Source organism: Homo sapiens, chromosome 10 (genome assembly GCF_000001405.40).
Source record: "Homo sapiens chromosome 10, GRCh38.p14 Primary Assembly".
NCBI lineage: Eukaryota > Metazoa > Chordata > Mammalia > Primates > Hominidae > Homo > Homo sapiens.
The window spans coordinates 78,409,752-78,428,015 of NC_000010.11; the positions used below are offsets into that span (position 1 = coordinate 78,409,752).

The following is an 18,264-nucleotide window of genomic DNA, read 5'->3' on the forward strand; positions in this document are numbered from 1 at the left end:
GTGTAGGTGCTACATGTATAGATGCCAGGTGGGTTTATGTTAGCTAGGGTGCCCACAAATAGGGTCCAGGTACCAGGGGCAGGGTGTCTCAGAAGAGTTGGCAGGGATATAAGGGACTATGTGATAAGGAACGAGGGCCCTGTATACTACCCAGCTTGAGGTCTTTGTGGGGGACAGGGTCTCAGCCCTCTGTTCTGGTCCCTTGTGTGGATGAGCAGTGTTATCTGTAGATACCTGGAGCCCAGAAGGTGGGAGAGGTGGCAGTCCTCGGTGCCTATCCACTGTCCTCTCCTGGCAGACTCCCCTCCTGGCAGAGCCTCTCTCCAATGCCCGTGACTACTCAATCATCCTCTTTCTCTTGCTTGAAAATTTGATGGGACAACTCTGCATGGCTTTCTTGGCTCTCCACACTGCCCCCCTAGCCGAGGTCCTCACTGCTCTTTCCATGCTCCAGGCTGATCTTCTCCATCTCAGTCCCTGCCTTCCCTCCTCTGTGCCTTGGTCCCAGAAGCTTCCCCAGTCAGGCCACGTTGGAGCCCATCTTTAAGGAGGAGACCTCTCCCCTACCCTGGGCTCCTTCAGCATCCTAGGCCACTGGGTGTGAAGTGACCGAAGGGAGTACCATGGGACAGGCCTCTGGGGCCCTTTGCCTTCTCCAGACCATGAGATCCTGGAGGGCAAATTCTACAGCCCATTCATTTTCAGTTTCCCAAAATGTTTGTGGATTACATGGATGAAGGAAAGCATGCATGAGCCAAGAATGGAGGCGATGCGATGGGTCTGGGAACCGGGAGACGCGAGTCCCTTTCCCTTCAGTGTCTCAGGAGGAGAGTGGGGAAGATGCCATGTGCCCTGAGATGATTTTCTTGGATTCCTTGATGGGCCACCCTTTGGGGAACATTTGCATTTTAACATTGAGGGGAGCTGGCAAATGGTAGTGGATTTTGGGTGCTGTGGCACCCATTGCAGAGGGCTCTCTGGCCGGCCTTGCTCATGCTGTGGGCGGGTCCCTTGTCTGGGAGTTTCTGCGCTCCTGTGCTGGCTCCCACGATGTCCCCCTTTGTAACCCCTCTATCCGGCCTGTTCAGGGAAGCATGAGCTCTTTTCTTTGCTCCAGCTCATTGGGGTGGTGACATTTTAAAATACTGTTAATAGCTGATATTTATCCAATGCCACATGGAGTCTCGTAGCTGAGCACTTACATACTTTATCTAATCTCATCTGCACACCAGCATTGTGAGATAGGCCCCGATGACCATCCCATCCCATATTACCAGGGAGGCCTCATTTATCTCCATGCCCAGATACCCCTTCAGAGGCATGGATTTGCCTGGGCGAGGATCATGCTTAATTTTGCTCCATACCATCAGCCCCCAACAGCAAGTGGGTGCTTCATATTGGTTGGCCAAACAAGGGGAAAATGAGTGAATCTGCAACTCCGACCCTTCCCACAGGCCTCACTGGAACCCTAATTTAAGAACAATGCTGTAGTCCTATAATCTTAAATGAAAAAGCAGGATGTGAAATGTGGTGTGTGCATGCATGTCACATGTGTGCGTGTGTCTGTGGAGGCAGGGCACGTAAACTGGGGAGGCTTGGAGGTCATGACTGGAGTGTGGGTGCTGAGTTCTGCTGTTTGGGGCATCCTGGTTCTGTGATTTGGGATGAGATGCCTAAGCTCTCTGGGCCTCAGTTTCCCCTTCTGTAACATAGGGGTAATCACAATACTTGACAGGGTTATTGCGAGGACAAAGTGAGTTATTACACACAGAGCACCTAGAACAATGTGTGGCCTCTAGTAATCACTAATGAAGTGTTTGTTACCATAATCAGTAAATAGGGATGGGAGGAGCTAGATGGAGAGGTAGACGTATTGATAACAGTGCATGGGCCTTGTAAGGGAGTAACCAGTATATTTCCCTTATTCTGCATACCTCAGCTCCTTCACCTCTCCCACAACCCTGTGTGACACCTGAGGCAGCTCAATTCTCTGGCCCTTTAAACAGAGTGTGTATTAGTGGAGAGGTCACATAAAGAGGAGGTGGTGGCCCATGCAGAGGCCTTGTGGCTATGAGGAGGGGATGCTGCAGGGTGACACAGAGTGGACTGAGGGGCCTGGGTCAGCAAGGCCATAGAGAGTTCTGTGATGACCACAGCCGAGTGCCAGGGCAGGACAGCTGACCAGACATCAACTCTCCATTGCTGCCCAAAGCCCCCCACCCCATCCTCACCGGCAACTTAGACAAGCCTTTCAGGAAGGACCAGATGGAGGGAGAAAAATTCTCAGTTGACTGAGTTGTAATCTGCATTTACCAAAGAAAAAACTTGAAGTGACTGAATTTATCCAGGATTGACTAGAGTGGAAATTTCTGCTTTCAGGGAGAATGAGGCTCAAGAGAGGAATGAAGTTCAGTGATAGAAAAATAATGAAAATTATATATTTTGTATACATGCCTATGTGGCTTATGAAAATCTCACCACCATATGTTATCCTTCCTGTATATAATTTCAAAATATGTGTACTTATGTGTGTTAATATATATAAACTGAAAGAAAGAAAATTAACCAAAATGTATTGGTTATCTCTGGATGAAGGGATTATGGACTATTTTTAATTTTCCTTAATATGCTCTACTGTATCTTTTCAATTTTCTAAAGTAAACATGAACTACCTCTATGATCAGAAAGAGAATAATTATATAGCTGTGAACTGTGGGTTTACATAGTTCTTCAAGTCAGGCAGATTGGGCCAGTAGGTGGTGTGAACCAGGTCACAGGAAGGTGTTAGGCCAGGGGCTGTGTCCTCAGAGAGACCCTCCCTTTCCTGAGCCCGTTTGATGGGGATCATTCATGTCACATGTGTCTACGTGCAGCCAGGACCCCATAAATATTCCTTCCCAGAAAGGAAGGCAGAGAGCTTTCAGTCCTGTCCTCTAATGCTAGCAGGAACAATGGCCTCCCCTTTACAGATTAGAAACTGGAAGCTCAGAGAGGTCTAGTGACTTATGCAGGGCCACACAGTCAGGGAGCAGCCATGCTGGGGTTGGAACTCGGACTTCCAGACCAGGTGTGCCTCACACCACGCCACCTCTGTTGGTCAGCAGGAAGTGGTTCCAGGACAAATCTCCATGCCCATGTCCTCAATACCTAATGGGGATTTACGACTCAGAGAAAATAAAAGCTTAGAGGGTTTTTTGCACCTTGTCCAAGGTCACACAGCAAGAGCAGAGTTGGCATTAGAATTCTCATGCTTGATGCCAGAATACGAAGATACTCAGAAAAGAGTATGATATGGGACAAAAGGGCAAAAAAAAAAAAAGCAAAGAAGTGCGAAGACAGGAAAGAGACTACAAGTGCTTCCTGAAACAAAGAACACAGTCCAGCATGTGTGTGCGCGTGCACATGTGTGTGTTGGGGGGTGAGTGGGAATGGTGTTGTAGTGTGGGGGGAAGGTAGGAGCTGAGAATGAGAGTCAGGGAATAGGGCAGGGGGAAGGAGAAAAGAGACAGATGGGAAACAGTCCGTGAAAGCCAAAAACCTCAAGTCAGACAAATGTTTATTTTATTTAGTGTTGATAACAGGGAAAAAAACGCTGATGGAAACTCACAAATAGCACAGGCTAGTGCCAGCTCTTTAGACCCTAGTGGGAAGTGCTAGAATGTGCCTCTGCCCAGCAGGGCAGCCCCCCTGCCGAACATGATGCTTGCCTAGGAACCTACCTGAGGAGACTTCTCCAGTGGAAAGGGCCCTGAAATGGGAGCCTGGGGCTAACTGCACAGGCAGGCTGCTCCGTTCTCAGAGTGCCAGGTCCTTGTCTGTGAAGGCAACGCCGTCATTCCTGCACCGTCCACCTGATGAAACCACTGGGAGGACTTCACTTTTGGCCAAAGTGGGATCACAGGAACTGTCTCCAGCTTCCTGCCTGAAATAGCAGCAACAATGTCAGCAACAGCAACAAATAGACAAAATCTATGAACCCACAGTTTTCAAGACAGTGGGCCTCAGGAAGTGAACTACTGTGATTTCTCAGAGATGGGAAACAAGGAGGTGAGCCCTGGGATGGCCCCAGGCACCTGCCTGGAGAGAGAGTTCCTACGCTGCAGCACAGGGAGGGGGACCCAAATGGAGCCCAGTGGACTCCCTGATTTGATGAGATGGAGCTGAGAGTGAAGGGACACCCAGGTGGCGAGAGTTCACAGGATGGAACACAGGACAGAGTACTGGAGACAAGACATACACACACACACACTCACACACACACCTCTAGAGAGCTGCAGAGACTCCACCAAGTACTCAGCAGAGTTCTGGTCAGCACATACATGTAAGGAAATTACCTGAGACCAGGAAAGAAAACCCGCTAAAAGGGTTTGAGGGAACAGCGTGGAGGACCCACAGGGGTGTGAATAGTTTCTGTTCCCACCAGCTAGGCTGGAAAAAAAAATCTCATAATTCAGAGGGAAATGAGTAGAGTACTCGAATGCATGATCCTTAATCAAATGTTCCTGTTATTCCAGAAAAGATGTCTACCCCCCACCCTAGTTACTTTGAATCAAGTTCAGACTCAGCCCTGTCTCCGCAGTTGGTTTTTATAGCTCTGAACAGATCAGCCTCCCCTGACCCTCTTTATTTCTCATGCTGTTGACTTGGTGAAGAATATGGGTTCATTGTTCCATGGGGCACCCTGCATTTGGGATTTGGTTGGTGCCCTTCTTGTGGTGGTGTTGAACTCTTTCCTCTATCCTGGTATTTCCTTACGCTAAGTGTTAGGTCCAAAGGCTTGGGTTCAGGCCCTATTCTTTTGGCAAGAATCCTTCGTGGGTGGCACTTCCTTATTAAGATGAAGTGTGCTTTGAGATGGTAACTCTAGGAATGCACCCTCGGCTCATCAGCATCGGCTGCTCATTACAGCTGCTGGGAATGCAGCCTCCTGGCATGGTGTTTTGCCTCTTTCTGTCCCCCACTAAAAGGCATATTAAGATGCATGTAGGTCAGAATAAGGTTCATGTGTGGACAGCCTTGAATCCACTCTTAGTTTTTAAAATGTCTTCCAGAAGTTTGAGTCTTTTTTTTTTTTTTACAAAACCTGGTATTTATAACAAATAATAGTGAAACATGGTGAGTTATGAGGTTGTCACCTATGGGCCTACAAAGTAGGGTGACCAGTTGTCCCTGTGTGCTGGGGGCTGAGGGATTTCCCGGGATATGGGACCTTCATTACTAAAACTGGGAATGTCCTGGGCAAACCAAGATGGACTAGTTACTTTACTACAAATTGTAGAATTGTCTGGTAGCCAGGATTATAAACAAGCAACTTAGTGTGCCAGAACTACCCAGGCTTTAGATGTGGTCCTGTCCCCTCTTTATGCCATCTGAGTAAGTGATGGTTGTCTGGGCTTTCCAGTGATGGAGACACTAGTCCTTTTCCTAAGGGTGAATAAGTTTAAGTCCTTTTCCTATTCACTCCATTGGTGGATAAGTTCAACTGTTAGAAAATTTGGCCTTCCAGTGAATTCCATGAACCCACTTGTGAGCTGGAATTTTACCCCACAGGGCCAAGCATATGATGTTAATCAACCAATTGGACCATTGAAGTCCACACCATGGACCTTCCAAGCAAACATCTGCAAGTACATTGCTGGTCATGACATTAGGACCCTTCCCTCCACTTTCCCACATTCCTCAGGACACGGTCCAGGACTTGGCATAAGAGGATCACTGGCACCAGAACAGAGGCCAGACTGAAATGCAAGAGGACCCTCTGCAGAGGAGGTTTGCCTGCTCCCTCTTGCCTTCTAGAATCTAGGTCTGCAGGCATTCCCCCTTAACCCTCAAGCCTAGTGCAATCTGTTCCTCTGTGCATGGGAGAGATGTGCTATCAAAAGGGAAACCTTGTGTGTCCTTACACCTCTCAAGTGGATGGGAGGGGAAGGGAGTGCCTGACTTCATCCATTAAGGATGAACCAGCTGTTCTAGCCTGCTTGAGAGGATTTCAAACTAGAGCCAAGAATTTAACTTCAAGAAGTAATTTTACCTTCTGAAATCAAATCATCTAATTTACAGGGCAGTTGTTGAACAGGCATTCCCATTGGGTTTAATGCTGCAGCTTTTCCGGAAACTTATGTGGAATGGAGGTCAAAATTTTATGGGCTCAGATGCATTTTCTTGCTAGCTGAGTGACTGTTTTCAGGACTTCTGGCTCCCTCCAAGATGCCTCTCCTGTCTAACCAGCTCAGTGGCATCCCCTCTGTCTTCCTCTCTTCTCTCCATGATTCCCCGAAGAGCCCTTCAATATGTCCCTACTTCTGATCCTTCCCAGCCTGTCCTGGGGATGCCACAAGCCTTACCTTTGCTAATTGCCTGCTTTATCCTAACTGCCCACCCCTCCCAACCTTACTCCCCAGGTTTGTCTTCCAAGGGCCTCATTCTCTGGCTCCATGGACCTGGCCAAATTCTCCCTGTCCTTGGCCTCCATCTTCCTTCTTCAGAAACTAGTCAAACAGGTTCTGTCTGTCCCCACTTTGGTGTTGGTGAATACTTCTTTCTAGGCTGACCTCCTACAGGCAATTTTCCCTATGATTAATATCTTTACGTTCCTCACTGACTTCTCCCTCCTCTGACCTCCACCTCTGATCACCAGTGTTGCACAAACCAACACAGACAAGTTTCTCTTCCCTGGTGGGCCTCTTTCTTCTCTTTGGCTAATTTGTAAGTCCCTGGAGGGCTGGGACCAAAAGTCTATGCCAGAGAGAGTGAGTACTCATTAAACCTCTCATGTGCATTCCTAGGTTTCCAGCCTTTCTTGCTGGAAGATGGGGCCGTGTGACTAGCTGTAGGCTGTGAGCAGAAGTGGCATGTGTCACTTCCTGACTGAGGCAGTTAAGAGCTGGCAGAAGTCCTTCTCCATTCCTTTCTTCCATGCCACAATGACTACAGATGCCATGTGATCCAGATGCTACACTTATAAGATGATAGATCCTCTGTCAGCCTGGTTCCCTGAATCTGTGTGGATTAGAGCTTCCCACTGCCCTACATTAGACATGTAATATGAGCAAGAAACAAACTCCATCATCTTAAGTCTCTGAGATTTGGGGCTTTTTCTGCTGCAGCAGCTAGCATTGCTCAATGTTAATACAACATCTTGTTTGTTCCCTCCATCTCCACTGTTCTCTGCCTGGCAGCTCTGAGCACAGACTGGTCACCCAGCATGGATTCAGTGAGCTTTTTCATCTAAATGATGAATTTCGTGGGATGCTAATAGATATGGAATTCATAAATGGAACAGCTTAAGAGGGTGTTCTCAGCGGCATGCCCAGTGAAAACTACTATTGAACTTGACCTCCTGGATAGGCCACTATCCATCCTGACTTCATTGGCCAAACCCTGGGATGCTGTAGCATGCTGACTTAGATTCAAAATCAGGACTGAGATTCCTTTAGCTGTTGACTTTGGGATAATCATGTGCCCTCTCAAAGCCACAAGTTCCACATCTGCAAAGTGACCAAATGATATCAGAGCTCCAGAGGACCTGGAGTCCCCATCACTGCCCTTCTAGGAAGGCCAGTCTGTTTCCAGGAGACAGGGGATTCTGGGGCCAACACTACTGTGGTGATGTAGGTATGATGCTCCTGGATTTTGGAAGTAAAGAAGGTAAAACTGTAGTACAATAGAGAGAGGCACTTTGTAGAGCCACAAACCCACAGACCATGGCCTGCCACATGATCCAATCATTGCCTTTCCTTGGACTGGGACAGGCTGGCAAACCAGAGCTCAAACTATGAGGGGACAGGTGATCCCTGCCCTCACCATGATATGAGTTGAAACTTGTCAGGCCTTCAGGGGTGTGGCTGTGTCTTTTTCACAATCTATTCCCAGGGCCTACTCAGAGCCTGGCCCATGGAGAGTGCCTAAGGGCTACTGACATCCCCAGTGGTGGCAAGTCCTTGTCGGCAGGATGTGTTAGCTGAGTCCAGTGGTCACTGGGCAGGGAGGCCATGTGAGGCGTTCTGAACAGAGAGATGACCATCTAGATATGTCTGGGCTGAGATTCCTCAGTGGCTTCCCGGGAGAAGCCAAGGGGACACCTGGGAAGTCAGCGGCACGGGCTGCAGGAACAGGAAAGGCCACAATGAGGTAAGGCCCCCTCTTGCCTCTATGCTGAGGTGGGATACCTGCAACACATGTTCTTAACATATGTTAACCTTGGTGCTTTCCTCCTGCCAAGAAGCTGTCATGGAGGCATTTAGCAGAGGAAACGGCGTAGGAAACGTTTCTGTTGTACTTTGGGGCACTGTGCAACTAATGGGGCATGTATGACGGGGGCTGTGGGTGGGGGAGGTGGGCCCCCACTGACCCTGCCAAAGCCTGTTTGGTCCAGCACCAGAGGAGCAAGTGTGAATAGCATTTGGCAGCTGAAGCCAAGTCCCCTCGGCTGTCATGTGGGATGAAGCACTGGGGACGGAGGCTGAGCACCTACGATGCACAGGGTGCTGGCTTTGGGCCTCACGCATCTGCCGTCTCCCTGCACCCTCACCACAGCCCTGCCATATAGACATCGTCCTTCCAGTTACAGATTAAGAAGCTGCCTTGAAGTCGGCCTGACTCCAAGCAAATCTAACTCTACTAGAACTCAAAGGAACTCACAGCAGTTTCCTTGGTGCCATGAAGCCAATGAACCCATTTAGGACACGGAGAACAGCATGCAACATGATCTGCAAGTTACTTGTCTGAAGTTCGGGGTTATAAGGTAGCCTAAATGAGGATGACTTTATATGGCAGAGGTCTGGGGACAAAACATCAACTCTTGAGGTTGGGATCAGGCTGTGGTTTTCATCCTAGGAAAGATGTGTATTTTGTGGCTTCTTTCTCTCTCCAGTTGCAAACACAATGTACATAGGCAACGCACACAATGAACACACATATATCTGCATGGATACACTCTCTTTTTTTTTTTTGACAGAGTTTCACTCTTGTTGCCCAGGCTGGATTGCAATGGCACGATCTCGGCTCACCTCAACCTCTGCCTCTTGGGTTCAAGCGATTCTCCTGCCTCAGCCTCCCGAGTAGCTGGGATTACAGGCATGTGCCACCATGCCTTGCTAATTTTGTATTTTTAGTAAAGATGGGGTTTCTCCATGTTGGTCAGGCTGGTCTCAAACTCCTGACCTCAGGTGATCTGCCCGCCTCGGCCTCCCCAAGTGCTGGGATTACAGGCGTGAGCCACCACGCCTGGCCATTGATACACTCTTAAAAGCCCACACACCTATCTATACACATCCTCACTCACGTGTATGAACAGACAGTCACGATGATGCTTACATGTGACACACCCACATACACCTGCTGTGTCCTCTCACCCACATATCCACAGGACTACTTGCTTTATAGACACAGCCTACATCAAATTGCCTTCACACACACACACACACACACACACACACACACACTCCCTCTCAGGTGGACATGCTAACACACATACACAACAGGCTAATCCACATAGCAAGAAAACTCACATTTACACAGCTCTTTCTCTGAGCAAAGAAATTCTATCTTTTCTAGGAGAGAACAGGAAAGCGAGCTAGCAGTTCTTAGCTGCTTTCTGTCATCTCCCACAACTCTCAAAGGCGACGAGCTTTTTATGCAGAAAAACAAAAGCAAAAGAGGGCAGGTTGGAAGTGGCTGGGGGCCTAGTGAGGATCTCTCCGGGGATGAACTGCTCGGTGTTTTTACCCCTCTAGATTTCAGTTTCCGCAAGTGTTAAGTGAGGATAAAACTCCCTTCCAGCCCCTTCCCACGGCCTCTGTGGGTATCATATCATCTGATACAGGGATGGGAAGCTGTTCAGACGAGTCCTGGGTGGGCCCCCTCAAGGCTGAATTCCCTATTACCAGTCACAGAGCCTATTCCAAGGTCAAGCCATGCCCTGCTGGCTTGCGTGGGGAAATGTGGCAGTGACACCCTGAAGGGACATTCATAAGGGTCACACTGTCAGAGCTGCACACGCTGTCACCATGAAAGAGTCTCCCTTATTTCACAGGTGGGGAAACTGAGGCACAGGAAGATTAAGGACCCAGTGCTTAGAACAACGACTGTCACTTCCCAGTTCCCCAGTGGACACTGGAGGAATGACTGTCGGATGCTGCTCTTCTGCCATCTTCCAAGCAGCTCTTGAGGCTTTGAGGGCTTGGAGTATGAGGGACTCGACAAGGCAATATTAAATTTTGTACAAAGACTGTGGGAAATTTGGAGGCTGATCTGTTCCTCTAGTCCTGGGTGACGCAACCACTCTTCCCTGCCTTGTGTCAACACCTCACCCAGGACATGAGAACTCCCCTTCACCCAGCTCATTGGGATTTGCTGTGCTTATGGGTGTACACCCACTACAGGCACGCGTGGGAACACGTGTGTGCACGCACGCACACACACACACACACACACTCTTCTCTCTGTCTCTTTCTCTCTCTCTGTCTACAGACTCACACAAGAAAACCTGTCCAGGTTGGTAATATTTCCAGAAAAAGCAGATACAGGGAGAGGCAGTAGGAGTCCCCAGGCTGCCTGCCCCTGGGGTCCCAAATAACATGTCCAGGTGATTGGTGTTGACATAAACTTTAATGCTGAGTTTCTAGCCAAGCACCGGGTCTCACCAATGTCAGGGTGAACACAGTCTAGTCCCTTCCCTTGTAGAGCTTATATTCCAGTGGAAGGTCACTGTGTGGTCAGCAACATGGAGGGGCAGAGCTTGGAGGAGGGCTAATAAGACACATGTCTAAACAGGGTCCTCTGGGTGCCCTGAAGAAGGAATGATGGACTCCTTCCTGCAGGGGCTCTAGCCAAGACTTTGCCAAGAAGGAGTATGGAAGACTGTGAAGGCCGCTTGAATGTTGCCAAATAAAGGAGTGTGGTAGGGTGTTCTAGGCCAGAGGACAGCATGTGCACCAGCCAGAGGGTGAAGCCTGCAGCATATTTAGGGCAGACAAGGGGTCCTGTGCGACCAGAGCCTGAGACAAGAGGGGCCAGAGAGGCAGCATGGAGACAGGTGAGGAAGAGACTTCAGTGCCTTGCCAAGGGTTTGTCTTTATTCTCTGGATGGGGTAGGGATCATGGGATGGGTTTAAAGAGAGAAGGGACGAGATCAAGTGTGTGGTTGCAAAGGTTACCTGGTGGCCCGATGGAGGTGAGGAAACCGGCATCTAACTAAAGGCACCAGAGGCTGAAGCAAGGAAGATGCAGGGGAGCTACTGCCTTCCTGGCTCTCCCAGGTCAGTCAGGAGGTCCTTGCAATAACTGGGGCGAGACTGGTGTGTTGGAACTGTCCCAAAAGAGGATGTGGGAAGTGAGAGGAGGGATGGATCAGTGAGGGGTCAAGGAGAGGGAGGCGTCAAGGACGGTGGTGGTGGTGCCAGTGCCCCAGGTTTGGCGGGGAGCAGGGCGGACTCACCTTCCCCATCCTGGAGGAGGGGCAGGCAGTGAGGTCACATCCCTCCCCCGGCTGTCTCGGCAGGAACCAGCCATTGTTTGTCAGCCTGTGCTGTCCCAGGAGCTGCGGCTTAGAATATTAAAATCTTTCTCAGGTTTATCTCCTCCCCATCTCGCTCATTTGAAATCCCTGCAACTGGGGGGAGAAAGTTACTTTAATCCTCTGGTTCCTATCAGCCTAATTACAGTTTCAACAGACAACGGACCGGGCTCTAAATGAGATCTGAGGACACTGGAACACATTATGTTGGCGCTAATAATGGTCTGTCTTTGTTTTATCATTTCTTGTTGTTGCTTCTCATTTTGGCTGCCTGAATTCTTAATGCCTTTGAGTGTCTCGGGGAGATTGCTTCCTCTTGCTGGCAGGCCGGGACACAGTTCCAGACTTGCATATGAAAATACCCAGCCTGTGCCTGCAGCTAACACGCCAGCCGCCATTTAAATTTCAATCAGCCCTTCTGTTTGTGTGTGAGTTCCTTGGATGGATGAAATTAGCAATTTTGAAAAATTGATTAAAATTGCTGGTTTCACGAAGCCTCAAAACATCAAAATCAATCTTTTTTTAAAAAAAAAATACACCAAAATTCTTGTTGGACTTACCACGTCTGCAGTATGAGAAGCTGCTGATTGCCAGTGGGGTGGTGGGGACCTGAGGGCTGGGTGGGCTGGGGCTTCTTTTGGCTCTGGACACACTCCTATGTGACCTTTTTAAGAGTTTGACTCTTGCTGGGTCTCATTGTTCTTTCGTTTGTGGAATAAAGGGGTTTGACTGAATAGGGCACCTCTAGAAGACTCTTCTCCAGCCCTGGAACTATGTAATCATGTGCTCTGAGTCAGGTAAAAAACCAATGAAACTTTGCAGGTAGAATCTGCATTTAGATGAGGGTGAGAATACCAAGAACAGATATCATATTAGCTAACATTTTGAAGTGCTAAATCAGGTGCTTTATGTGCATTATTTACACCCATTTAATCATCACAGGAAGACTATGAGAAATACAATGATTACCCCCATTTTCAGATGTGGAAACGGAGGCCTACACCTTTCCCCACATCCAGGTGAATATAATTGCAGGAAAAGTCTGCTTTGATCCATCCAGCAGAGGGGTCTCCTAGGGCCCCCCTGCAATGGCTCTGGGGGAGTCACACATGTGATTGACGCATGTCAGGCTCCCTGGTCTGATGGGGCAGTGGACGTTGGCAGCAGACATTCGAGGCCTCCCTGGGTCTGCTCTCTTCTCTGAGCTTTGAGTCAATGTCTTGAAAGCTCTATTCATCACCTTTGCAGCAGAGACGGGTCAAAGAAGTGAAATGGTAATCAAAGACACGCATGTGATATTTCCCCAAATAGTGTGACCTGCTCAACGACACAGACCAACAGTCCTGGCCACTGTCTAGGCACAGAGAAACCCTCGGTCATCACTGGTTGTTTTGAGGAAAAAGAAAACACTCTGGGCTGGCCGCGATGGCTCACGCCTGTAATCCCAGCACTTTGGGAGGCCGAGGCAGGCGGATCACAAGGTCGGGAGATCGAGACCATCCTGGCTAACATTGTGAAATCCCGTCTCTATTAAAAATACAAAAAATTAGCTGGGCATGGTGGCTGGCGCCTGTAGTCCCAGCTACTCAGATTGCCCCACTGCTCTCCAGCCTGGGCAACAGAGCGAGACTCCGTCTAAAAAAAAAAGAAAAAAAAGAAAAGAAAACACTTTGCTGCTCTGGGCAGCAGTAACTTTCCTTCGCCTCTTCTGGTCCCACCCTTCATGAACCTCCACTTGCCTCGAAGGGGAGAAAATAGGCTACCCTCTTCCAGAAACTAGGCGGGTCTGCTCCTTCCACTGCAGTCTGAGTAAGACAAGTGTCACGGCCATTTTCTGCCTTTTGTGGGTCCCCGTGGCACGGCTGCCGACAACACTTAATCACAAGAATCACCTTCGATTCTTGTTTAAAAAGCCAGGCTGCTCAGAGCCTGCTCTACCCTTTCTGAAAAGAGCCCTCGCCTGTCTGGGAAGCCCTGCTTCTCTCAACATGCTGTAAGTGTATACGGGGACCATATTCTCGCCTTCCAATTTACTGGCCAAGTGGCTAGTGTGCAGACAGTTCAAATTCTCTTCCCTATCTCATGAATATTTATTGAACACCTACTAACGTTAATGGGAAAAGATAGAGGTGCTATGGGAAGGATATTTTTTCTAGATTTAGAATAGAATCTATCACCAGCGTTTCCTGACTTTGTGAAGTCACTTAAGTCTTTGGGACTTGGTTTCCCTGATTGTCAGGTAAGAACAATATCCCTCTCTCTGGACTGTCTTGAGGAGACATGGAATGCATGTGGAATGTCAATCTGGTAAAATGCCTGACGCCTAAGTAGATACTCTTTCTACCAGAGAAAACCCACCCACCAAGAGCCCTGTCCCAAGGCTGCTGTGAATCCGCAAGTGGCTGGCATAGTCTGTAACTCCTCCTTCAAGAGAGGAGGATGCTGGGGGGTTGGTTAAGCTCATTCACCAGAGAAGTGACCTGCCCCTGTTTACCAGCCTCATATAGCATTTTTTTTTCTTTTTTTTTTTTGAGATGGAGTCTTGCTCTGTCGCCCAGGCTAGAGTGCAGTGGTGCCATCTCAGTTCACTGCAACCTCCGCCTCTCGGGTTCACGTGATTCTCGTGCCTCAGCCTCCCAAGTAGCAGGGATTACAGGCGCCCACCACCACACCAGGCTAATTTTTGTACTTTTAGTAGAGACGGGGTTTCACCGTCTTGGCCAGACTGGTCTCAAACTCCTGACCTTGTGATCCACCCGCCTCTGCCTCCCAAAGTGCTGGGATTGAGAGGTGAAGCCAGCTGGACTTCCTGGGTTGAGTGGGGACTTGGAGAACTTTTCTGTCTAGCTAGAGGACTGTAAATGCATCAATCAGCACTCTGTGTCTAGCTAAAGGATTGTAAATGCACCAATCAGCACTCTGTAAAAATGCACCAATCAGCGCTCTGTAAAATGGACCAATCAGTGCTCTGTAAAATGGACCAATCAGCACTCTGTAAAATGGACCAATCAGCAGGAGGTGGGCAGGGACAAATAAGGGAATAAAAGCTGGCCACCACCCCCCACTCCAAGCCAGCAGGCAACCTGCTCCAGTCACCTTCCATGCTGTGGAAGCTTTGTTCTTTCGCTGTTCACAAAAAATCTTATTGCTGCTCACTCTTTGGGTCTGTGCCACCTTTAAGAGCTGTAACACTCACCACAGAGGTCTGCAGCTTCATTCTTGAAGTCAGTGAGACCAAGAATCCATCAGAAGGAACCAACTCTGGACACATTAGGACATGGGCCTGGAGCTGCTGGGGCCATTTCTGCCACCTTGTAGGGACAGCCAGCTCGAGGATGAAGTCAACAGAGAAGAACGGAAGCTGAGAAACAGAACTAATCATTCCACCTAGCACCTGGGTTCAGCCAGGACTAACACTGGTCATGTGAGTTGATAACATTTATTTTTGGTTTAATCCAGGCTGAGCTGGGTTTCTTTCATGCTTAGACAAAAGTAAGTGCTGACCAAATCAAAGCTTTTTCCCTTGGCTGGGAAACCCTGATTCCCCAATGCAATGGCTCTGCTCATGTGGTGCTGAGGGCTTACACCAAGGTGGTAGAGAAGTCCCCTTGAATAGAACTAGGCTTTGGACTGCTGGGCTGCAGTATAATTGAGGTCCTGGAGAGGGAGCCAGTTCAGGGAAGAAAGCACCAATACCTTGAGCCTCAGTGCGAAGAAGAGCAGCCTGGAAGCAAATGTGTATATTTGCTTGAATTGATATATATATATTAATTCAACATCATTTATGGTAAAAACTTGCAGTGCAAGAATACAGTCTTGCACTGCAAGTTTTTACCATAAATGATATTGAATTGTGTCAATTTTTTTCAAGATTCTATTGAGATAATCATATAAATTCACTTATATTTGAATATTAAACTGACCTTTAATTCCTAGGATAAACCCCACTGGGTCATAGTGTATTATCATTTTTGTATTAACATACTGTTGAATACAATTTGCTCATATTTTAGCAGCATTTGTGCTCCATGAAGGGTATTGGTCTGTAGTTTTCTATTTTAATATATGCTTTCTGGTTTAGGTATCAGAATAAGTTTGCTCATAAAACAAATGGGGAAGAGTTTTCTTTGTTTTCTAAAATAATTTGATAGGTCTGATTTTTTTAAACCTAGTTTTTAAAAATAGAATCTGCCAGTGAAACTATTGGAACCTAGTGCTTTCCTTGTGGGAAGGTTTATAACTACAAATTCCATTTCGTTAGCACATACAGGGTTATTTATGCTTTCTATTTCTTCTTGAGTGAGCTTTGGTAATTTGCACATTTCAAGGAATTTTTACATTTTCTCTAAGTTGTTGAATTTGTGACATAAAATTGTTCATGCTATTTCCATATTAGCCATTTAATTAAAGTAGGGTCTGTAATATGTCGTTTTTTTCCTGGGATTGGTAAGGTGTGTCTTCTTTGTTTCTTGGTCAATCTGGCTAGAGGCCTAGCAATTGTCAATGGTACTAGTTTTTTGACCTTGTAGAACTACCAGCGTTTGTACTCATTTCCCTCTGTGTTTGTCATTTTCTACTTCAGTGTTTTATGCTCTTATTTTTACTATTTTCTTCCTTCTACTTTCTTTGGGTTTATTTTGTCCTTCTTTTTCTTCATTCATCAAATAGGGCCTTAAATGATTGACTTTAGGACTTTCTCCTTTCTGATATCAATACAAAGTTGTCATTGCATCTTAGAGCTGCTTTATCTGTATTTCACAAACTTCATAAGCTTTGTTTTTATTTTCATTTAGTTCAAAATATTTAAAAATCTCCCTTGTAATTCATTCTTTGAGCTATGGGTTATTTAAAAGTGCATTGTTTAATTTCTAAATATTTTGGGCTTGTGCATATATCTTATTATTATGATTTTAAAATTTAATCCCACTGTGGCCAGAGAACATACACAGTACTATGTCAATACTTTAAAACTTACTGGTATTTGTTTTATGTAAATTACCTTTTGTCATGCACACCAGACTATGTGGTAATGTACAGGTAAGTCAGGTCTTGTGGAAAAAAAAGGTCTGATTGGTAGTATTTGCCAATTTTCATGGTATAAATACTTGCACCGTGGCCAAATTCAACATAATGTTACTAAATGTACTATTGGAAAGAAATGTGCACAATTTTGTGAGCTGCTACAAGCCAGCTCCAGCACAACACTGGGAATATGGTCTACTTGGTAAGTATTCCACGTGCACTGGAAGTTATACGTATTTTGTTGTTGTTGGGTAGAGTGTTCCATAAAGGTCTATTTGGTTAAGTCTCCTATATCCTTATAGATTTTCTGTCTCCTTGTTCTGTCAATTACTGGTACCACTTTATGTGTGATATAAGAATCTTATAGCAATATAATTCCTTTCTTCCCTCCTGTCCTTTGTGCTGTTATTGTCACATATTTTACTTATACATACATTATAAACCCCACTCCACATTATTTTTACATTGTCATCAACCGCCTTTTAAGGAAAATAAGAAATTAGAAAACACAAATTTTTTTTTTTAACCTACCTGCATATTTAGCATTTCTGGGACTCTTCATTCATTTGTATAAACTTGATTTCTGTCTGATATTTTCCTTCAGCTAGAAGAACTTTGTTTAATAATTCTTATAATGCAGGTATGCTAGGGATAATGAAAATTTGTCTGAAAATTCTTTATTTTGTCTTTACTTTTGAAGGATATTTTCACTGGCTATAGAATTCTAGATCAACAGTCTCTTTTCCTTTCCTTTCTACACACTAGAGATGTTCCATCGTCTTCTGGCTTGCGTAGTTTCATGTGAGTCTTTATTACTTTTTAGTTATTTTACTCTGTACATGAGTATTTTTCCTCTGGTGACTTTTAAGATTTCTCATTTTCATAAACTTGGTTATGAAATGCCCTGATATGATTTTCTTTGTATTTATCCTGACTGGTGCTTTCTTGAGTTTTTTGACTATGTCAACTTATATTTTCAAAAACATTTAGAAAACTCAGCTAATACTTCTTCAAATAATTTTAATGCTCTCTTCCTTTTCTTTGAAGACTCTATATTATGTAATATAGTTGTGCTATTGTGATATAATAAAAAATACATATTCTGGCTTTTGTCACAGCTTCTGGTTCCCAGCTCCTACAACCCTCATAATTTCCCAAGTGACTAGAGCCATAGGTGTATTTTTTTGCTAAAAAAATTTAGACTTTTTTCCTCAGTTCCTGAAACAGCTGCATGGCAATACAAGTGAAAAACATGTGTTTTATTATTCACAGCAGGTCTCTTACAACCACACCTGAGTTTATATTAATGAAGTGATTATTTTTGGAAAGCCCTTAGATAATCACAGGATTGGGGCTGGTTGCCAGTGGGACTGACCATGTGATTGGAGGGTTGAAACTTTTGGCCCCACTCCCTCACCTTCTGAGAGGGAAGATGGGCTAAAAGTTGAGTTGATTACCAAATCACTGTGATATAATCAATCATGCTTACATAATGAAGCTTCCATAAAAACCCAAAAGGACAGAGTTCGAGGAGCTTCTAGGTTGGTAAATAAGAACACATTCATGCACTGGAAAGGTGGTGTGCCTCAAATCCACAGAGACAGAGCTCTTATGCTTGGGACCCTTCTGAATCATTTGTGTGTCTTTATCTGACTGTTCGATTGTGTTGTTTACAATAGTCTTTGTATTAAATGGGTAAGTGTAAGTATAACAAAATGTTTCCCTGA

The 18,264-nt window shown here is 46.3% G+C and overlaps 2 annotated features.

Annotated features, from left to right (window-relative positions):
• Positions 10,943–11,444: an enhancer, noted in NCBI's record as "H3K4me1 hESC enhancer chr10:80180451-80180952 (GRCh37/hg19 assembly coordinates)". NCBI's record gives its function as "activates a minimal SCP1, AML or CMV promoter by ChIP-STARR-seq in naive H9 embryonic stem cells {active_cell/tissue: H9 hESC(naive)}" and the evidence as "EXISTENCE:reporter gene assay evidence [ECO:0000049][PMID:30033119]".
• Positions 11,445–11,944: an enhancer, noted in NCBI's record as "H3K4me1 hESC enhancer chr10:80180953-80181452 (GRCh37/hg19 assembly coordinates)". NCBI's record gives its function as "activates a minimal SCP1, AML or CMV promoter by ChIP-STARR-seq in naive H9 embryonic stem cells {active_cell/tissue: H9 hESC(naive)}" and the evidence as "EXISTENCE:reporter gene assay evidence [ECO:0000049][PMID:30033119]".